We start from the raw sequence: 24,153 nt of genomic DNA, 5'->3' as shown, positions 1-24,153 counted from the left end.
CCCTCGATCTTTTCCCAACCTCCTGCTTCTGAGTCTCTAAAGTCCATTATGCCACTAGGTCTCTCTTTGGGTACCCATAGTCTAGCTCCCACTTACAAGTGAGAATATGCAGTGACATAAATAATAAATAATTTGCCTCAAGACATCGTGGATTCAGATTGAAAAGCATACTTTAAATTATACAATCATGAATTTAACAAACACTATGCCTAATATGTTCCAGGCACTAAGGGGAGTTGCTAAAGATGTTTGAGAATATGACAGGCTCTATGAAGAGGTACATAATACTTTCAGTACAAACATCAATATGTGCTTAGTTTAATCTTAACCTCACTTGTACTGCTAAGATGTAATCATTGTTATATACAATATCATTTAACTGTAGAGTAAAATATAACCTTAGTTTTTTCTTATAAACATGAAATTCAACAGTGGAGGATTTTATCTAGGAAAAGTTGTAAATCTGAATGAGTTTTCTACACATACATAAGAGAATACAAGGTTTGTATTTTGCACATTTAGAATACTTATGTATAGTCACATAATATGAATGAATTAACCTTAGCCATTCATTGAAAAATAAGCATGGGATTTTGAATCTAAAACTTAAAGTATTCAGCAAAAAAAATGAGTACTGGCTAAAGGCTCAGATGATTGTTACGATAGCATTTTTTAGCCATAAAATATTTCTAAATTAAAGTATGTACATTGTGCTTTTTTAGACATAATGCTATTACACACTTAATAGACTACATAAATGTAAACCTAACTTTTATATGTAGTGGGAAACCAAATAATTTATGGATATGAGAGTAGATTCTTAATGGAATCGCAGGGCATGCAACAGAGGAACCCTGAATCTGACAACAAAGGAAAATGAAATGCGACCCTGGATAACAATGAGGCCAGATAAGGCGCTGGGGCATAAGGGCAAAGCAGGAAGGCTTGTAATCCTCCTGAGGTCGTACTCCCCCCTCCGTCTGCCCCATGCTGTCTCAGCTTTCAGGTACACAGGGCTCTCACAGTCACTCAACAGGCATTTTTAGGGTATCTACTCTGTTGCCTCTGGGATACTGCACGAGGATGAAATGATGGGTAAGATACAGTTTCTGACTGGGAACTCACAGTCCAGATCAGGAGACAGACAAACAAATAACTGACTATAATGTAATTCAGAAACACCCTGGTGGTCCTGGGTTCTCTTTGTCATAACTTTGTTAGGTCTCCCCTCTGGCACCATGGTGGGTGTGGATATCTTTATCTTATATTTCTACCAACCTCACTGTTCTGGCTCCAATTTTTTCAAAGCACTGATCTCAGATTATTCTTCTGCATATAGATACCCAGTTTTTCCAGCACCATTTATTGAAGATACTGTCCTTTCTACAATGTACATTTTTGGCACCTTTGTCAAAAATGAGTTCTCTGTAAGCATATTGATTTATCTCTGGGTTCTCTATTCTATTCCACTGATCTATGTGTCTGTTTCTGTGCCAGTACCATGCCATTTGGGGAACTATAGTTCTCTAGTATAATTTAAAATCAGGTAATGTGATTCCTTCAGTTTTGTTCTTTTTGCTTAGGATAGCTTTGGCTATTCTGGGTCTTTTGTGGTTCTATGTCAATTTTAGGATTTTTTTTTCTATTTCTATGAAGAATGCCATTGGTATTTTGATAGGGATTACATTAAATCTGTAGATTGTTTTGAGAAGTATGGGCATTTTAACAATATGGATTCTTCCAATCCATGAATGTAAAGTATCTTTTCATTTTTTTGTGTCCTCCTCGATTTCTTTCATCAGTATTATATAGTTTTCATTGTAGAGATCTTTCACTTCTTTGGTTATTTTCTAGATATTTTATTGTATTTGTAGCTATTGAAAATTGGATTACTTTCTAGATTTCATTTTTTCAGATTGTTTGCTGTTGGCGTATAGAAATGCTACTGATTTCTGTATGTTGATTTTGTATCCTGCAACTTTACTGAATTTGTTCATCAGTTCTAATAGTTTTCTGGTTGAGTTTTTTGGTTTTTCCAAATATAAGACCATATCATCTGCAAAGAAGAATAATTTGGATGCCCTTTATTTATTTCTCTTCTCTGATTTCTCTAGCTAGGACTTCCAGTACTATGTTGAATAACATTGGTGAAAGTGGGCATCCTTGTCATGTTCCTGATCTTACAGGAAAAGATTTCAGGTTTTCCCCATTCAGTATGATATTAGCTATGTATCTGCCATGTATGGCTTTTATCATGTTGATGTATGCTCTATACCCAGCGTTTTGAGGATTTTTATCTTGAAGGGATGTTGAATTTTATCAAATGCTTTTTCAGCATCAATTGAAATGATCATATGGTTTTTGTCCTTCATTCTGTTGATATGATGTATTACATTGATTGATTTTTATATGTTGAACCATCCTTGCATTCTTAGGATAAATCCCACTTGGTCATGATGAATGATCTTTTTAACGTGTTGTTGAATTTGGTTTGCTAGTACTTTGTTGAGGATTTTTGCATCAATGTTCACCAGTGATATTGGCCTATAGTTTTCTTTTTTGATGTGTTTTTGTCTGGTTTTGGTATCAGGGTAATACTGGCCTTGTAGAATGAGTTTGGAAGTATTCCCTCCTCTTCTATTTTTTGGAATAGTTTGAGTAGGATTGGTCCATGTAATTTATACGATAGAACTCGAAACTTGATATTATCACTTCCATTTAACAGACGAATATATTAAGCCATTATGTAATTAAACTAGCCTATTGTTATATAGCTATAATCATGGGAATAGCAGGATTCAGATCTCAGAATTTTTATTTCTACAACTAGTTATTTTGCTATGATTTATATCAGTTAGGATTTTCTGTTGCAACAGAAAATCTGACTCACAGTGTGTTAAGCAATGAAGGGGATGGACTGACTCACAAAAGTTGAAGGCTTGGAAATAGCACGGGTTTTATTTTGTTTGGGTGGCTCAAACTTTTCATCAAAAGCATAATTTCTTTCACCTCCTTCCTTGGTGTTGCAAGCTTTCCATCTGGATTTAAAACAATCTCAGCAGTTTCACCCTTCATATCGCAAATCACAGAGTCAGAAAGAGAGTGGAGACAGACTTCAAACCTCAGATGTCATCATTTTGCCATGTCCCTTGGGGACCACTGTGAGCTATTTCACTTAGGCTAAATACAGGGGGAATAGAATTGTCCTGATTGAGTTACCAGAAAACCAGGGCCCACCCTGGACCTGAGGGTGGAGTGATGTACTAACTTCCATGAGTTAGTACATAATGGGGAAGAAAAGAGGGTATTGGGAGAAGACCTCTGACCTCTCAGACTCAAGCCATACTGACACAGTAACACTCTGCACCAAATGAGTAATAAACAACACTCACACGAACAACTCACCACCTAGTGTCTACAAATGAAGTGTTTTGCCTCTTCTTGGTATAACAGTACTTGAAGGCTAATCACTTTCTTTAAAAATCCTGTCATTCCTATCAAAGAATTGCCTTTGAATTTTTTATGACTTGATTCTGACCTAGTTTATTCTCAACTATTAAGAAAAATATTAAATACAATAAATAGCATATGAGCTCTTCTTAGCTACACAGCTGAACTAACATTGTCTCAAATATTTAACTGTTTATGGAATGAGCAGGGTTCAGCTGGTGTATTACATAAAACAACTTATTCTCAAATCTCTCCATTTAACTTGCCTTGCTAATCCATTCCTCCCTCTCTGTGTGAGTTCTGGGATGAATCCTGATTTTTGTAGTCTCTCTTAGACAATAAAGGCATCACCCTTTGTTTTGTCATTAGAAGTCCAGTCCAGTCTAATAATCATAGAACTACAGGTCAGTCTAGTATAATAATCAAAATTTCTGAATCCTTATCCAATGTAAAGCTTCCTTTCTTCCCCAGCTTGAGCCTGCCTCAGACTTGCAAGCATGTATTATCTTCTTGACTATTTCCTGTCTCTATTTTCTATTTATCAGAAATCCCACCTGTACACCTTCAAATGTACTTGAATTTGTACTTGTGTCCCCCTTTCTCCTTCTCCTATTGAAAGGCAGTCCCTACTCATGTGTTGTTGATCCCTTTTGCTCTTCTCATGACTTACAAAAATATTGGGAAATTACAAACTTCTTTAAAGTAGCAGAGGGAGTTACTTTTTCTTAATTTCTGTCATCTGACAAATAGACATCCAGATGAAAATAGATGCACAAGAGATTAGAGGAAATCACTGTGCCCAGCAAAGGGAACAGAGTGTGAATGGGCAGAACAACCTTCGGACCCCGATGCATGTCATTTTGGTACCTGCAAAAGAGGACGAGAAAAGAAACAGGGTTGGGCAAGAGCCTTGAACTGCAGTGTGGCCCTGAGAAATTCTGAGACAGACCAATAGGGAGTCCCAGAACAGAGGGTCCTTTAGAGACTGGCCAGCAAAAGCCTGACTCTAACAGCCCCTCCAAATTCAGTCACTGGCTGGAAGCAGCTCAGGAAGAACATGGCCTCAGTGTGAGGCAAGATGGATAAGGGTGGCAGTTGAAGGGTTTGAGTCAATTTCAGCCCTCGCAGCAGGTAGAGCTGGATGGTGGACATCTAAGATTGCCACAAAAGGTATAGAATAGAAAGCCCTGAGGATAGGGAGGTGAGGGGGAAGCAAATTGGTAGGAATAATTCTAATTAAAATGTGAAGAATACTACTTTGAAAATAAAACAATATAGAAATAAATTTTAAAATAAAATACCTAAATTAACAACAGGAAAAATACATTCATTGTTCTTAAATCTTAATATTTAAAGATGTAAATTCTTCACATTTCAATCTGTATTCTAGGAGAGTACGTGTTTCGTTTAAGCTTTGGGGTTTTTCATTCTTTTAAAATTATCAATTTGATTCTAAAATATTTATAGGAAAGCAAAGGGCCAAGTTACTAAGCTGATAATTATTTTATCCAGATAAACAGCCTTTTACTCTCTAATTAGATTAAAATGCAAGTACATGGGTATATTTTTACTTTGATGTGAATGAATTTCAATTAAAGTTTTATCAGTTAATCAAATATATAGATGATTATTTAGCAAATAATTTCTTAAATGGTTAGGGCAGTCAGTGAAATTTCCCAAATGATGAAATTTAGGAGTAGAAGTGTAGACCACAAATGGGGAAAGAGGGCTGAAGAGAAACTTGGTAACAGGACTCAGATGACAGAAGATAAAGATTGCAAATTTTGTCCAAGGTCAACCTTAGTTGGCCCCTTAATACCTTTTGAATGAACAAGAACAAAAAACAATTGTGTGTCATATTATTTCTCTTTAAAGACACAAAGACAGGCAAATTTTTAAAATCATAATAGGGCTTCTGAATTTTTAAAAGGAATCTGGCTTTAACAAAATAAATGTTTATTCATGGAGACTTTATTAATGTATGTTTCACACTTCCCCACTCCCTTCTTCTCTTCCTGTTTTTTTCTCTCTCTCCTTTCCCATTTCTCTATATTTACCTCTTCTCTCCTTTCCTCTCTCAACTTCTGACTTCACAAGATCAGTCTTAAAGAAACGAGGAAATTTAGAAGGAATATAAATAATGATTACCCTTTAAAAGTCATACTGGTCTGACTTAATAAGTTCACTGGATTTTTTCAAAATATCCAAAATCTTGACACACCTTTTTGTGCCTGTCTTTCTAGATAAAATAAATGCAGTTTAATACAATGTTATGACTTATTTAATTGCTGATACCTTTGCAACTGTTCAACTGATATAGTTAACTGTATCTCATGTATTCAATGTGAAACAAATACAAATATTTGCATTGCAGATGACTTCATATTTAGGAGGCCCTGAGGCTTTGTAATAGGAAGAGCTGAGGCAACTTTACTATAGAAGAAATGGTACAATACCTAGTTAACCTAGGATTTTATTCAACATAGAAAATGCTGCCCTGGCAGGGATTCATGTGGCTGCTGAGTCTACTTCTCTTTTTAAAAAATGTATTCCTCTGTGCTGAAGAGTACCCTCTGAAATCCATTGTCTAGTCAAATATACTAAATGAGGGGTTGAGGGACTTTAAAATTACACATATTTTCAGCACTTCTGAGAATCTTATTCACACCACAAAACATTGTTCTGGATGCACTAGAGAGGTTTAATTACACACTGAAGATAAAAAGATAAAGCAAAGAGACCTGTAGGTGGGATGGAAATGATTATCCATAAGTATACAGAAACTGAGCTTGCTAGTAGCTTGCATAACGAATTGCCCACACCCGATGGCATTTGCATGAACATTTTCTATGAAAGCCTAAATGCTTCTGAGATCTGTTGGCATAAACAAAAGAAACAGATGTTCCAACTTTGATACTAAGTAAATTTGAAAAGAAAACTATACATTTAGAGAAGAGCAAACCGTAGAGGAAATTATGGATAGACCCATCTTTCTGAAAGCTCTAGAATTTAAAATGCTGCTGTTATAATACAATTTTTAAAATAAAAAATACAAGCCCCCTTTGAAATTATAAGGTTTTCAGATTCTGTATTGTATGTAAATATGCATAAAAGGATGAAGTAACTCAGCATTTAGCTCTTTATAATAAATACAGAACTGTGTAGTAAAGTATCCTATTGGAGGGAGATGTAAATTTAGAAAATCAGTCTCATTTTCCCACCACCTCATATTATACCTTCCTGTGCAATGTAAGCTGAATACTTCCATCTGTTCCCAGACCAGAATCAAATAGGGCAAATATGTGTGTAGTATATTACAGGGTCACCTTAAAATATCTCCCTCTTTGAAGAAGACCTAATGCCCCAAACTCCCACCATGATTAATACATAAAGGGAAAATTTGCAAGTTATACTATGAAATAAATGAATATAGTCTGCACCCTTTATAATTAAAGGTAAAAACAATAAAATGAACTATTCAAAAGGGTTATACCCTAGAAATAAGTCCTCTACAAACAAGAATCATTTTTGCCCTCACAGCTGAATAATACAAAGTAACACAAATTTTAAAATGAGCAAAGGATTTGAATAGACATTTCTCCAAAGGTATACAAATAGCCAATAAGCACATGATAAAACATTCAACATCAGTAGTCATCAGGGAAATTCAAACCAAAGCTACAATGAGATATCACTTCATACACTAGACCACTTCATACTTTTTTAAAGTCAGATAATAACAAATATTGGCAAGAATGTAGAGAAATCAAAAATACTCATACACTGCTAGCGGGAATGTAAAATTGTGTAGCCTCTTTGGAAAACAGTTTGGCAGTTTCTCAAGAAGTTACACGTAGAGTTACCTTTTAATCTAACAATTCCACTCCTAGGTATATACTCAAGACAAATGAAAACATATGTCCACAGAAAAATTTGTACCTAAATTTCCATAGCAGCTTTATTTTTAAAAAATGTAAAGTATAAATAACCCAAGTGCCCTTCAACTGACGAATGAATGAACAAAATGTGCTGTGTCCTTATATGGAATATTCACCAATTAAAAGGAATATAGTGCAGGTTATGACATAGCTGAATCTTGAAAACATTATGCTAAGTGAATAGAGCCAAACACAAAAGACCACATATATATGATTCAGTTTATATGAAACGTCCACAATAGACAAGTCAATAGAGACAGAAAGCAGATTAGTTGTTGTCTGGGGCTGAGGGGTTAGGAGGAATAGAGAATGACTGCTATTGGTTATGGAGTTTCTTTCTAGAGTGACAAAAAACTATTTTAAAATAGATGGTGTTGATGGTTGCACAACTCCCTGAATATACTAAAAACCATTGAATTGTACACTTTAAGTGGGTGAAGTATATGGTATGTGCAGTATATCTCAATAAAGGTTTTTTTTAAAAAAAAAAAAACAATTACTTTCATATTGATAGATTCCTTAAGTAAAAGATTGTTGTTTGAAAACACATTTTACTTAGGAGAGACAATTTGTTATTAGATACATACCTTTAATTATAGTAGTTTATCTACTAGAAAGGCAATCTAGTCAATCATTTAACATATATTCACCAGCACAAATGGCTCATACATTTTCCTTCCACTTCCATAATCCTTCTTGAAGTTCTTTAGTTATCATTTACTCTCCCACCTCAGATTTAATCACCTTTCCTCAGTCTTCATTCTTCTTGACTTCTTGAATGAACTAGTATTAAAAATGCTATGCTATGGTTACTTTTATGGCATTGCTATAGAAATGCTGACTATTCCCTATATCTTGAAATGCTTCTCGTGCCTTCTGTTGATTTTATACTCTTGCATCTATGCTCTGTAAGGTCCGTCTGCTCCTTCTTTGTGTTGCTTTTTGTCTCCTGTTTTGCCGTCTCTCCCTAAAGGTAATTATTCTTCAAGATTTTTTCTTCAGTGCTCTACATTTCTCTTTTAACATTTGACCCTTTGGTTATGAATCTTCAATCTATTTCTATTTTTTTTTTTTTTTTGAGACCAGGTCTCACTTCCGTCACCCAGGCTGGAGTGTAGTGGTATAACCATGGCTCACTGCAGCCTCAACCACTCTGGGCTAACATGATCCTCCCACCTCAGCCTCCCAAGTAGCTAAGACTACAGGCACATGCCACCATACCGGGTTTTTGTATTTTTTGTAGAGACTGGATTTCACCATGTTGCCCACACTGGTCTCAAACTCCTGGGCTCCAGTGATCTACCAGCCTCGGCCTCCCAAAGTGCTAGGATTAAGGCAGAATGACCCCTTGAGTCCAGGAGTTTGAGACCAGCCTGGGCAACATAGTGAAACCTTATCTCTAAAAAACACTATGGAAGAACATATTCAATTGATCAACCACACCATGAGACTTTAGTTCATTATGAGGATTATATTATGAATGAAAATATCATTCATAATATTTATTACTTTTTATCTACCTTCCTACATTGATGGGCCATTGCTTATCCAAGCAGAGAAGACTCCTACTATGGATAGATTTAGACAAACTATAGTCATTACTGTAAATATTCTAAGTCACTATCTGTTGAATCATACTTTGAAAATAAAATTCTTTAATAAGGCTTATGACATTCTAAATACTAAAAGCCTGATATTACTGCATAGTATTCTTGAAGTCCATGAATAGTACACATATAACCAGCACTGAGTCCTAAGAAAGAGGAAATGGGTTTAAACTGAAGCAAAAAATAAAAATAGATTTACACTGCAGCAGGAAGAATTTTGGTTAAAGATATGGGAGACCTTATTAAAAATGAGTTAGCCTTGAAATGGTTTATTAGATCCTTTTTTAGGCCTTAAGAATATTAGGTATTTTGCAGTAAGTGCAGGTGCTAGAAAACTATGGGATAAAATAAATAACCTCTGGAAAGGCCCCTCCCATCTTCCAATGCCTAAGTCCTTAGGCTTAGGCTATTTTTGGTTTCCTTTCTGAGATGGCTCAGAAAGGAGCCTATACAATGAAAGTAAAAGCAGCTCTTGATTTCTTTTTTCCCCTCACTACTCCAGGATCTGTTTTTGCCACAACTTCATAAGTATTTCAATTACTTGTTCTCTCAACAATCCTGCAGAGAAGCTCTGCTCCCACCCCCCTCTTTATAGATGGAGATATTGAGGTTAAATGATTTTCTCAGGGTTACAAAGAAACCTAGCAGCAATGAGGGAATGAGAACTAGCAGTTCAACCTTCTGCCGGATGAATAGATTGAGTTTCTGAGCAGCTTTGCTATTATATTGCAAAGAGGCCACGCAGCAGCCTGGCTGAATGTGTGAGGAAACCGCGTCCTGGAAATGAAAAGGAGGCTGCAAGGAGAGCATTTTCCTTCTTATTAATGACATCGGCAATTGTCTAAAGTTGGAAAGAAAGGCCCTTCAGAGAAAGAGCCTTTTAAAAAGAGGACAAATAGCAGGGTACTCCATTTGGGACCCTCCCTCAATGAGACTGTTGTTGTCTGTCTACTCACAGACAGTGCCGCCAAGAAAGCCGGGCTCCAGATTGGAGATGCGGTACTGGCTGTCAATGGCACTGAGGTCACCAGTGTCGAGCTTGCAGAAGCTGTGAACCTTGCAATGAAAGGTAGGTGGGCCAGTTACAGAATCCAGAGTTCATCTGAAGGAGCAGAAAGCTGCCATACAGAGTTCCAATGTGGGAGGGGACACCTACAGGTGTAAGTGCACTTCTCTCCCAAAGCTCCCTTTAATGCCCTGTCATCAGCATGAGTTTTCATAGAAATTAAATCACATTTCCCTCCCATTTTCCTTCTGTATTGATGGCTAGCCACTAAACTGAAGCGAGAAAATGGCAGTAAGTAAAACATACCCTATTATTATCAAAATATTTACTTAAACTCCTTATACATGCACAGAAAAATTCTCATTACAAGAATTCATTTACTATTACCATCCTTTCGTCCCACCTTCCTTCCTCCCTCCCTCCTTTCCTTTTCCCTTTCCTTTCTTTCCATCAGTTTTGAGAGTTAACAGCCTCAGGATTTTAATGTAAAAAAAAAAAAGAGAGAGAGAGAAATGAAGAAATCACAGATCTAAAGCTTCTACAGATTTTCCCAGGCCCTTAAAGCAATTGTGTTGCAGATGGAATCACCACAAGAACAGTGAGGATACATGCCCCACACCCTTGCATCCTCTCACATTTCACTTTGTGGAAAGGTAACACCATCTTCCTCTCTGCAAAACAGCTTACTTTTTTGGCACAGTGTTACAAACCCTACCTCCCTGCAGACCTAAAAATACCCAGCTGGTAAATGCTGTGTTCCCTCATGGAGTTATTTGGTGTGGTTTCCTGTTCCGGGCTTCCTGAAGGCTCCATGAGTACTTCAGTGCCTCTGAAGGTTATTAGCAGGCAATGAGATATTAAAAATGTGTGCATTTGGGATAGGTCACATGTGCTAATTAGTAAGTGTAACTGGCTGAGCAGTAAGTATCATTTGCCCTTTTCTCATGATGAAACCATGCTTGATGATTAGCAACATTGAGACTTCTCTAGCGTAGACGAGCAGCACAAAAAGAAAAAAAAAAACCCACTAACAAATGCTGTGTCTTCATAAGTGATTCTGAAACTTGTAGGATTTGGCTTGGTGTTTTGCTGCTCTGTGGGACTTGGACTAGCTGCACCGGGAATCCAAGGTCATTGTCAGTTAGCACATGCAACAGCTATTTATATGTCTTGCACAAATATTTATCTTGTATGGAGTACAGATGAGAAATGGAGATAATATAATGATTATGCTAATGAATTGATAGTATTCCATAGAATAAGGAAATCTTACCCATCTGAATTTAGCTGTTCCTAGGTTCTTCCTCACAGATAATTACATTTCCAATTTTCTGAGTTAAATAAAACCTACTTTTAGAAATATTGCTACTTTTAGTACTTCTTTTATTTTTCTCCAAGAGGCCTAATGTTCTTTATAGCACTAAACCATTCAGCCTCACTACATCAGCTAATAGAAATAAATAGAAATCATCTCTAAAACTTGAATGGAGAGATTTCTGATTTCTGACAAGGTAAGGAACTAACACTGATACTGAGAGAAAAGCTATATTCAACATCCTAGCCATTCCTGGAAGTTACTTGGGCGGATGGACTTATCTGCTGATATAATCTGGGCTCAACCACTCCTTGGTTGCCACCTTCACTTTTCTCCCCAAAGGAAACCTTAATTCTGTGTCTGTTCCAATTCTTCTCAAACCCAACATCAGAGATACATCAAAAACATAAAAGTGAATTATAGATCTGAGATGCTAAAAGTAAAGGCAAGATCATTTGGTGCAGGTGCATATTAGAAACAGTGAGAATTACAGGCAGTAGCAGATGACAGCTGAACACTTCATGTAAGGAACAGGCTGAGGAACTGCTTCTTAATGTTTTTTCTATTCCATATAGACCTAGGTGGCCAGTTCTCCACATCACCTGAAAGCCAGAGAAACAGCAGCACCTATAATGGAGTCAATGGGATATTATCAGGGTGGCCCATCATTCCTTACCCAGATATAATCTCCTGCACATCCTAGGACTAAGTAATTATAGCACAGCTTTTTGTTGAGGAAGAGTAGAGTTTATGGCAAAGGAAAAGGGAGAGTGCCTGAGATTCAGGGTCATCTTGTAAGAAAGCAAATGAGGCAAACATAGTGATTGAGCCAATATAGCAACCCAAGAGGCTTACCGCCCTGAGGAGTACCCTGTCTCCACCACCACACTCACCAGGAGGGATGTCAGCCATGTTCTGGACTTTAAACTTTCTCCCAGTACATACTTTCAGCCAAAGTACTTAATAATCCCAGAGCAGTAAGAGTTGTCTAGTAAAAATAACAAGACATCTGAGAAACATAACTGCAATAAGAGAAAGATAATATATGGAACAATCTGTAACAACCAAACCAAAATAAATTAATAGATCGGAGAGAACAAGCACTTAAAATAAGATCAATAAATATCATAAAAGTGGTGAAAAAGGACATTTGTAGGATATTTAATATAAAGCAGAAAAAGCAGACATAAGGGAAAACCAATCTTCAGCACCAGGTATAAAGAAAATAATTGTTTAAATAAAAAATGCAGTAGGTGAGCTGAATAACAGAAAAAATACAGTAGAAAAATTTTAAAGATCCAAAATATTTAATGTAAGAACTTTCATAGAACGCATCAGGTGAGTTTTTTTAAAAAAGAAAATATATAGGAAGAGTTAAGAAATACATAGGATACAATTAGAAAAGCCAATATGGTAATATTTCAATCAAGAGTGCTTAAAGGAAAAAAGTAAATAAGTACATGGAAGGAGAAATATTTTTGAAGAAAAAAATTAGACTTTTCTAGAATTAAAGAAAGAAGAGAGAACTCAGGAAACACTTATAGATCGCCACATAGATAGGAATAAAACCCTCATGTTGGCATATTGTAGTGAAATTTAAGAACATCAAAGATAAAGATTTTTTTTTAAGTTTCAAGACAGAAAACCACTGAAATCTGATTGATATCAGACTTTTTAACAGCACTGGGTACTGGTATACAATGCAATAATATTTTCAAAATGTTAAAGAAAATTAGCATTATAACTCAAATGTAATATCCAGCTAAACTATTACTTAAATGTAAGTGCAAAGACATATGTGAGCATTTAGCTTTATAAAAGATTGTCTGAAATACTCTTAAATGAAACACTGTAGCAAAAAGAAATACAAATCCAAAATGCTTTTATAGTAATCATGGGAAATAAAGGTGATGAAATAACTTAGTAAAGTTTCCTATTGTCTATATCAACCCCTCTCCAGTACAAACAATTTTATCTAACTCAGAACTTACCAATCTCATAAAGTGGTAAAACAACCAAATAAAAATTAAGCATTAGTAGGAAATAATACCAGCAAGATGCCAGAGTAGGAACACCCTTTTCCCCCTTACAAACATATGAATTTATCAACAATTCATAGACAAATTCTCTTTGTAAGAAATCCAGAAACTTACTGAAAGGCTCCACATCCCAGGCAAACACTAAGCTAGACTCACCGAAGCCAGTAGGGAGATTTGGGACACACTCTTGACAGAATCCTTACACCGAGCACAGCACTGTACAATCAAGAAGGGAACCCCTAAGCTACAACCTTTTCTAAGGGCAGGGAGCGAGTGTAATTTGTACATCCAGCACCCCAAATTTTCCAAGGGACCTCAGCAGGGACTAGATTCTGTTTTGCTGACCGTGGAGCTCTGATAGAGAACACAGACAGCAGCTTGGGCTGTTAAGCACCATAGATCCTTCCTGTTGCTCAGCATAGAGCAAAGACAAAAAATTCCCAGCACTCTGCTACCCTTGGGAGGGAGAAGGTTGATCTGTGTATCCATTTCACTACCTTCTCCAGGGATGTCCAAAAAAGTGTCTTGGTAATGTTGGAGCTCTGGCAAGTTCAACATATTCATATCAGAAAGAAAGAAGTTAAATTATCCCTGTTTGCAGACAGCACAATATTATAAATAGAAAACCCTAAAGATGCCAAAAACAGTTCGAACTAATAATTGAATTCAGTATAATTGCAGGATAGGAAATCAACAAACAAAATTCAATTGTGTTTCTATACACTAACAGCAAACTAGTTGAAAAGGGAATTAGGAAAACAATCCCCTTTACAATAGTAACCAAAAAATTAAAATACTTAGGCATAAACCTAAGTAAAAAGTGACAGATTTGTATACTAAAAACTAGAAAACAGTGATGAAAGAAATTAAGACACAAACAATTGAAAGATATCCTGTGTTTATAGATTGGAAAACATCATACTATTTAAATATTCATACTACCCAAAGCAAGCTATAGATTCAATGTCATCTCTATCAAAACCTCAATAGGATTTTATAAAGAAATAAAAAAAATTTTAAATTGTCATGGAACCACAAAAAGCCACAAATAGCCAAGTCAATCTTGAGAAAGAACAGCAAAGATGGAGGCATCACATTTCCCAATTTCAAAATATATTACAAAACTATAGTATTCAAAGCAGTATGGTATTGGCATAAAGACAGACAGATCAATGGAACAGAATAGACAGCCCAGAAATAAATCTATGCATATATCGTCAACTGATCTTTGACAGGGGTGCCAAGAATACACAATGGGAAGAAGATAGTCTCTTCAACAGATGGTGCTGAGAAAACTGGATATCCACATGCAAAATAATGAAATTGGATCCTTATCTTACATTCTACACAAAAATCAACTCAAAATGGATTAAGAACTTAAATGTAAGACCTGAAACCTTAAAATTCCTGGAAGAAAGCATAGGATAAATGTTTCTTGATATTGGTCTTGGCAATGACGTTTTGGATATGACACCAAAAGCACAGGCAACAAAAACAAAAATAAACAAGTGGGACTACATCAAACTAAAAAAACTTGTGATGAGGGGGTTAATCTCCAAAACATAGAAAAAACTCATACAAATTAATAGCAAAAACACACTAACAGCCTGATTCAAAAATAGGCTAGGGAATTTCTCCCAAGAAGACATACAAATGTCCAATAGGTATATGAAAAAATACTCAATGTTACTAGTTATCATGGAAATGCAAATCAAAACCTTAATGAGATATCACCACACACCTACCAGAATGACTACTATTAAAAAAACAATAGACAACAAATGTTGGTGAGGATGTGGGGAAATTGGAACATTTGCACACTGAGGGTGGGAACGCAAAATGTTGTAGCCACTGTGGAAAATAGCAGAAAAAGTCCTCAAAAAATTAAAAAGAGAACTACCATATGATGCAGGAATCTCACTTCTAGGTATTGATGCAAAGGAAATAAAATCACTATCTCAAAGAGATATCTGCATTCCCATGTTCACTGTGGCGCTATTTATAATAGCCAAGATGTGGAAACCACGGTGTCCATCAACATAGATTAAAAAAATATGCATACATATAAATGAATACTATGAGCCCTAAAAAGAAGTAAATTCTGCAGTATGTGACAGCATGGATGAAACTTGAGGACATCATGTTAAGTGGAGTAAGCCAATTGCAAAAGAACAAATACTGCATAATTCCACTTATGTATGGCATTTCAAACAGTCAAAATCATAGAGGCAAAAAATAGAAAGGTGCTTGCCAGGTACAGGGGTAAACTGGGACAGGGGAGTTGCTAACTAACCAGTAAGAAATTTTAGTTATGTAAATGAATATGTTGTAGAGATCCATTCTACAACACTGTACCTGTAGTCAACAATAGCGTATTGTACAGTTAGACATTTGTTAACAGGGTAGATATGTTAAATGTTCCTACTACAATAAAATAAAACTTTTAAAAAAGTACCAGTATATAAAACTTGAAAACAGCATTAAGAAGTTTGAACTTGGAGAGAATAACTAGATTCTACATCCCACAAAGCATATTTTTTTTTCTGAGTACAATGGAACATTCATAAAAGATGACAATGTATCAGGCTATGAATGAAACCCCAATAAATTCCAAAGACTCAACATCATACAGATTATATTCTTTATCCATAATGCAATTAAATTAAAATTAAATAATAAAAGAATAACTGTCTTTAAAGTTACATGGCTTAAATTTTTGTTAATGCCTCTGAGAATTATTATACCATTTAAAACAGGGTAACAGTGAAAACAATACATGTTAAATTTATAGAATATAACTGAATAGTGTTTAGAGGGAATTTATACTTAAAATATCTTCATCAAAAGCAAGAAAAATTTAAATTCAGTGAATGAAGTTTCAACTCAATAAGTTAGGGGAAAAAAGCCATAGAATAAACACAAAGAAATCAAAAAGAAATAAAAAATAAGTACAGGATAAAATTACTGACATCGGGAATTAAAAGAAAAATACAGCATACTAATAAAATTAACAGCTGGTTCTTTCAAAAGATTCACAACACAGATAAATCTCTTGCATCACTGATAAATAGGAAAAAGAGAAAAAGAAGTAAATAGACAAAATAGAGAATAACAAAGTAAAAGGGAAAAACACACATGGTTTTTGAAATAATAAAATACTACTTTGAACAACTGTAGAATAATAAACTTTAAAGCTAGATAAATAAAAACATTTTCTAGAAGCATTTAGAGTGCTTAAATTAGTGCAAGAATAGACAATCTGCAGGCTATCATAATTAAACATATTGATAGAATAAACAAAGACACCACTTCATCTCTTTCCCATTTCCATCCCCACCCCATCTCCCATTCAAAAGCCCAGGATACTAGTCTCCTCATTTTTATAGGGGAGACCTATCCGACTTTCAAACAACAAATAACCCCTATTCTATATGGTTTTTCCAGAAAACAGTGAATGACTATTCAGCTAACTCTATGAGGCTACTGTAACCTTGATTTCAGAACCAGATAAACATATTATGAAAAATAATATATCCATTCTATTTACGTATAGATATACAAATTCTAATGAAAATGGTAAATACCTAAATCAAACTTTTTATTAAAAATACGTGTAGTATATCATAATCAACTAAAGTTTATACCCATATAATCACAAAAAAATTTTAATGCAATTCTTCGTTAGTATGAAGAAAAAAATCATGATTGTCTCAATAGTGCAAAATAATCATTTAATAAAGTGCAGTATGTACGTGTGTGTTTGTATTTAAATCCCCTAAATAGTAGAAACAACAGGTTCCTTTCATAACCTGATAAAGACTATCTACTAAAAACCTAATCATAAATAAAAGTACATAAACAGGAACAAAAACATTTAATGGAGAAACTTGTTTTAAGATTCAGAAGAACAATGCTGATTATAACAACCTTTGTTTGTCCTAACATCAAAAGTTCTGACCAATTCAACTTAATCCAGGTACATAAAAGATGATCTAAATAACTGGAAATGTAGAGTATATTTATGGGTGAAAAAAATCTGTAAAGATTTTAATTCTCACAAAATTAATCTAAAAATTCAGTTGAATTCCAATAACATTTTATAAATTTTTGAGTAACTTGTCACACTTATCCACAAACATGTGTAGAAAATAAATGTCTTCAAATAGCTATGTCATTTGTGAATACAGCAAACAATGACAAAGGAACTTTTCATACCAGATGTTAAGGTATATTATGAAACCATAATTTAAAAAAATATGGCACTCTCATAGGAACAGATGATAGCCCAGTGGAATAGAATGGACTTGAAATCTCAGAAACATACTCAAATGTTTACTAAAATGACATATGATAAAGTAGCACCATAATACAATGGGGATTTTTTATAGAAAATAAGTTGAATTCATACCTTCATACATTGTACCTTCCATTTTATACCATATACAAAGGTGGATTCAACTATATTAAAGACCTCAATTTTAAAGTTAAAACGTAGTGTCAGTAAAATAAATTGTTGGAGAATAACTTTGTTAGTAATCAGAGAAATGCATATTAGCAACAAGATAATATTTTAGATCCACTAGATTAGGAAAGAAAATATATTAGAAAATCAGATAACAGCCAGCTTTGACAAGGATATACAGATATAAGTACATAAGTATACTCATACACTCTTGTTGGGTTATAGGCATTTCAGAGAGCAATCTGGTAGCATCTAGTGAAGCACTTATAAATCATGTCCTAGCAGTTGCATTTTGGGGCAGATAAGCCCAAAGAAACCATTGAGTGGCCACATATAAGGGCATTCATTGCAGTGTTCTCTGTGGTCGAGAGGAATCAGAAGCAATCTAGGTGCCCATCTCTAGGGGAATAGATAAGTAAGCCATAATGGATGCATACTCTGAACTTCTGTGCCTCATTTTGAAACAATATACAAGATATGCATTTAGCTGGCACCATGGATAGATTTTTAAAACATGATTTTTGAATTGAAAAAGAGAGAAAGGGAGAGAGAAGGTGGGTGGTGAGAAGGGTGGTGGGAAGGAAGGAGGGAGGAAGAGAGGGAAGGAGGGAGAATGAAGGAGGAGGGAGGGAAGGAAGGAGGGAGGGAAGGAAGGAAGGAGGGAGGGAGGGAAGGAGGAGGGAGAAAGGAGAGAGGGAAAGAAGGAGGGAGGGAGGAAAGGAGGGAGGAAAGTAAGGAAGGAGGGAGGAAAGAAGGGAGGAAAGGAGAGACGGAGGAAGGGAGGGAGGAAGGGAGGGAGGAAGGGAAGGAGGGAAGGAGGGAGGTTGGTCTTAGCATGATACCATGCACATAAAAGTAAAAGATACACAAAATAGTGTGCCATATTTCTACATCAAATACATTTTGTGAATGCCTATTATGGGAAACAAAACATGTGAGGAGAAAATAGAGTAAAACAAAGCAAAAAGGGAGACTTGTACTCTAAAGGCTATCCTGCGCCAAGCCCCAGTGTTATGATTCACTCAACGATCTGCATCTGAGTCCAAAGCAACAAAGGAATGCCTCCAGGGATGGGGACTCACCCTACATGATTTTAGCTTTCTCCATCTTCTAAAATTTATAGGCAGTAATGGTGAAAAAAAGGAAAAACATCGCAGGATTACTGAGAAGCACTGGGCCTCTGAGAAAAATATACATGACTATGAAACTGAGGAGGAAGAGAAAAGGAAGAAATAAAAGGAATAATTAAAATTTTATGTAGTGCTTTCTTTACATATTTAATTTTGTTAACAATTCTATAAATGGTCAGGGTATTTTCCGGAAAATACAGAATTTGAAACAAACTTTTGAGGGTTCTCTTTGGGAAGGAAAGCTATCAACTTGTCTGAAGAAAGCAATAATCAAGACACAATGAATAGAATCTTTTGTTAAATTCATGTGTCATATGGAGGTCTTGGAATACAAATTTTGAAGTATTTATTAAGAGCTCATTTAGAAATCTAAATATTTCCACCTGCCTCTCATTTCTGTTTGCATAAACGTCCTGAAAGTCTAACTGATATCTTTTTGACCACTATATATTTTTGTACAAACTCATTCCTATGTATTTAAAACTCGGTAAAATCCTATCCTACTACTGGTTGCTACTTTACTGATTTAGATTTATGAACAGCAAATCACTTTTCCCAGAACATTGAATCCTAAATTCAGCTGTATGTCAGACTCGCCTGGAAACTCTTTTAAATGCAGAATTCCTGGTGGTGATTGCACATTTGTAATTTTAATCAACCCTCCCTGGCAATTCTCTCACACCCAACCCAGCACAGCTCCACATCTTAGAGGCATGGCCAAAAGATTACAGCCTTAAGATTAGAAATCTGTTTTGTTAGCCTCTGAGGCAAGTGTTATCTTACCTCCCTAGCCTCACATTAAAAAGGGGATTTACTAGATGTGTAAAAGTCTAATTTTATAATTAAAAATACTATTCAAAAATACTAGTCACACATACCTGTACAAATTACCTTTGTTTTGCAGATGGGAAAAGCTAAACTGGAGACTTAAAAAAGCACTTGGTGTCACATTGTGAGTGAGGCATGCATTCTCCATGTGCATTTTTATTTTAATTAGGTCTCTTTTAGTTTCTGGTTTTGGCTTTTTTTTTTTTCTTTTCTTTTCTGAGATGGAGTCTCGCTCTGTTGCCCAGGCTGGAGTGCAGTGGTGCGATCTTGGCTCACTGCAACCTCCGCCTCCCGGGTTCAAGCGATTCTCCTGCCTCAGCCTCCCAAGTAGCTGGGATTACAGGCGCCCACCACCATACCTGGCTAATTTTTTGTATATTTAGTAGAGATGGGGTTTCACCATATTGGCCAAGCTGGTCTCGAACACCTGACCTCAAATGATCCAGGTTTTGGCTTTTATAAGGGCTGGTTATTTGCAGAATCAAATGGAAGATTTAATCACCAATAAGAGAGTAATGGTAAACAGTGAGGTTTAATCAACCTGGAAGTTCTTTGCTTCCATAGGGCTTCCTTGTTTCACTAAGTGCAGGCTTTAATAAAACCAAATACAGAAGCACCTCTGGAGTGCAGGTCCTCAGCTACTGAGCACAGTGCAAACCCTCGGGAAAGTACACGTCTTGTACATTTCTCACCTGCACCTGCGACGGTGGTGGAGTTTGCCTGACAGCAGAGGTGAGACTGTGACACAGTTTAAGATTGGTGACATAATAAGAAGACTATGATCCAAGGAGAAAGTGTGAATTAGAAAAAGAAATCATTTTTCTCTTTCCTGTAGCTGTAAATAATCTCACCCACAATTCTTTACTTTCAAAACTCTAGACCAAAGTGCTAGGGAAGAAGAGTTTGCTGTACAGCTTTTATTTTTTAAGGACATCATCACCAAATAACTGGATTCTCTAAAAATGTGGGTTTTCAAACTCTTTCATCTCATGAAACTAATAGTTCTCTTGACTCCTTCACCTCAGGCTGTAGACATTTACCTACCCACATCCTCCCACGCTCCCTGCAAAAGCAAGCAAGATTTTGGGGATGTCCAGAAGAGAAAGGCAATGGTTATATGTTTCTTTTCTCCAAAGTGGGGAGATACTTAGAGAAAAAAGTGCCGGTTGGGGAAAACCTAATAATTCTGTTGCTGAAAAATGCTACAACTGAAAATGAAAGCAGATGGGAAACTAAATCACAGTTAAGGCAAAGAAGAAATATGGTTGGTGGCAAAGACTGTGCTAATGAGCAGAGGCTCTCAGAAACAGGGATGCCTAGGGACTTGGGACTGAAACTGTGGTCTGACATCACCTGAGAACTTGTTACGACACAGACTCTCAGGTCTCATGCCAGGCCTACAGAATGAGGATATGCAGTTCAACAGACCCATCAGCTAACTGGCATCTACATTTAGTTTGAGAAACAGTAAACTAAGGCACTTCCATATGTTAGGGTCCCAGTAAGTTAATAAATAGTAACAAAACCAGGAGGTTTTAAATGTTTGTACTTGACAGTTTGGTTAACACACAGAAATTACAATGACTATACAAATAACCTCATTTGAAGATAATATCAGAAGTCTAAAGTCTGAAATCAAACTTCTCTGTGAATGTCAGGCCCAAGTGCCCTGGGCCCCCGATAGGACCTGTTTATAAGTATAAAACCACTATTCCCGACAGCTGTTTAGAAGCCAGCAAGTCCCCATGCATCGGGATCATGTCTTAACTCTGAATGTGAAAAACTTTCCTCTAATATGATGACACCATGCTTCAGCAGGGCCATCTGTATCCCTGCCCCAGAGAGAATGTTTTGTGGTGCACTAAGTTATGTTTATGGCCGGGCTGAAACACAAGCTTAGCCTGATCAGTATCAGAGAAACCCACAGGCAGTCTGTGTAAGCAAAAGGAAAACGACCTCAAGGGGCAGCCCACTGCAGCAGTACATAAATAAATTGGCAGATGTGTCAGCTATGCATATTAGTCCAGGCGTGCAGTTCTTTGGGGACTGAAGTCCAAAGACAAAGACATTTGTGGGTTGCCGGTCAATCTGGAGCGTTTCTTCTCATTTTTCTGCATGTGTTTTTGACAGGAGCTTAAGGGCAGTTCAATAAATTAAAATGTATTTACATGGCAATGAAGAATTATCTTGACACACAGAGAGTTATTTAATTACGAAGGTGCTTTGCGTGCTGCTAAAGTTAAGACTGTGTCAGCCTTTCTGGGACAAATCTTTATTTTCAGGGCCATGTGGCTCAGCCAGGAATGATCCCCTGGGTTGGAGCTTGTCATTTATAGAAGAGGAGTCTCCTTGCTGACCCCCATTTCCATAGACAGCTCTAAACAGATCGGTAATCTCAATGTCAGACATCATGATGAAGTCAGCACTGCCAAGGCCAACTGTCCTCCTTCAGGGATGTGGCCGTCCTCTCAGAGGAACTGTAAATGAAGTCATATCCCATTTGCAGTCTTCAAAGCATGTCAGGGTTGCTATCTGTCTGAGTGACATTCAGAGAATTTTCTAGAAGCATCAAGAAGTAGGTGTACAATAAAAGCCTGTGTCCACGCTGCAGCATCAAAGCATAGTGGGTAAACAGTGACCTCATATTAACAGGGATAGGGACAATTTTCCCCCAGGCTATACCATGCCGATCCTTTGGGAAAGGGGTGCCACTAGTGTCCAGGCACCAAATAAGGCATTCTATAAAAGACAAGACAGGAATCAGGAAGCTCAAGGTTTAACCCTTGGCACTATGTTGAATAGGCAAGAAAAAGGGGGAGAAAAGGAAAAAGAAACATTTGTAGCTTGCCCTGCCTAGAACTTCTGTCTATTTGCAAGTTCAAAGGTTTGTCATTGATTTTTATCAGAGACAATATTGGCAATAGTTATAAGCAGTGACTTAGATCCTGCCTTTGGCTAACCTAAGTCAAAAGTAAGGTAGAAAGGTAGCTAAGCATCACTCATCCTTCTCCTCAGGAAGTAAATCAAAGTCTGTTTAAAGATTTAGCTTGATTATTATAAACGGTGAAAATGAACAGACTTAAGGAGCTCATAACCAGAACAAACATGGCTGTGTGGTTGAATGGAAAGAGTTCTGCACTAGAAGTCAGGAAACCTGGGTCCCAGATTTCATTCATCACCTTATGGGCTAGGGGTCCTCAGTGAAGTCACTTTACCTCTCCAGTTTTCATTTTCCTCAAACATTGCATTACTTGAACATTTGAATTACTGAGGAACTCTTTGGTTCATTCCAACTGTAGGATTCTATTTCATTCCACTTATAAAAAACTATAACTTTTTTCTCATCCATTCTTTAGTAACAGTCTTTCCAGTTGATTGTAAGATTTTCAGCCACTGAACTATTCCAAATGCATGCCTCTAGGTACAGACATCTTGACCCTGGTGGTAGGATCTGATATCAGCCGCTGTCCCAGTACCCCTTGGCCCACCTGCCACGGCTACCTATATAAGAGGACTCACTCCGGGATCGTGAAGGGTTGGAGAAAGAGGTGGTTTGTGCTGAAGTATGATGGATGCCTCTACTATTACAAACATAACAAGGTAAACTGAGGGGAGGGCTGAGGGCTGACAGAGTAAGAACAAGAAATCTCAGAAAGTACTGGTCACATAGACCATTCCATGACCAAAGTATTGTCTTGTAAGGTACCATATTCTAGGATTTTGAAAGCAGTGTTCTCTCCTGTGACTTCTCAGGAACTTTTTCTTCTTTAGAAGCTCAGAGAATTGTAATCTATTTTCTCTGCTGCTGCATAAATCGAGGCTGGCACGTGCATTTCTATCTTGTTTATTCTTACTTTCAGATCCTCTGTGAAAACTTCTTATCAAAGCCAAAATCTAAGAACTGAACTACATATCTAGTACCCTAGAGAAATCAAAGTGGGGCACAATCAGTACCTGGGCACTGTTGTCCAAGCAACAGGGCTTGGATGTCATTACAGCTTCTGAAGCAGAGTACCAGAGAAGCGGCCTGAAATACCTTTTTTCATTTCCCAGATTTCATTAAAGCAGTGATTTCTAACTACAGGTAAAAGTTGGAATCTCCTAGAGAGCTTTCTCAAGATATGCAGACTCAGTTCTCCTCCTAGATGTTTCTAATTCAGCAAGTCTAGGGTGGGGCTGGGGCCTGAGTATTTGGAGAAAGCGCTTCAAGTGATTCTAACATGCAGTTCAAACTATCAAACTGCAAGCCACATCTTGTCAGCACAAGTGTTTTCTCTGCTCTGTGCAACACAGTGTCTAATTTATTTATTTATTTATTTATTTATTTGAGATGGAGTCTTGCTCTGTCACCCAGGCTGGAGTGCAATGGCGTGATATT

At 36.6% G+C, this 24,153-nt stretch overlaps 1 pseudogene, besides 1 other annotated feature; it reads left to right on the top strand.

Annotated features, from left to right (window-relative positions):
• The window catches only part of PDZPH1P (PDZ and pleckstrin homology domains 1, pseudogene), a 96,086-nt pseudogene that overhangs the window by 17,500 nt on the left and 54,433 nt on the right, over positions 1–24,153 (top strand).
• Positions 20,772–21,111: an enhancer, noted in NCBI's record as "active region_22861". NCBI's record gives its function as "activates an Ori minimal core promoter by ATAC-STARR-seq in GM12878 lymphoblastoid cells {active_cell/tissue: GM12878}" and the evidence as "EXISTENCE:reporter gene assay evidence [ECO:0000049][PMID:35858748]".

The sequence above is a fragment of the Homo sapiens genome, chromosome 5 (genome assembly GCF_000001405.40).
Source record: "Homo sapiens chromosome 5, GRCh38.p14 Primary Assembly".
Lineage (NCBI taxonomy): Eukaryota > Metazoa > Chordata > Mammalia > Primates > Hominidae > Homo > Homo sapiens.
This window is presented reverse-complemented; position numbering and strand designations above follow the sequence as displayed.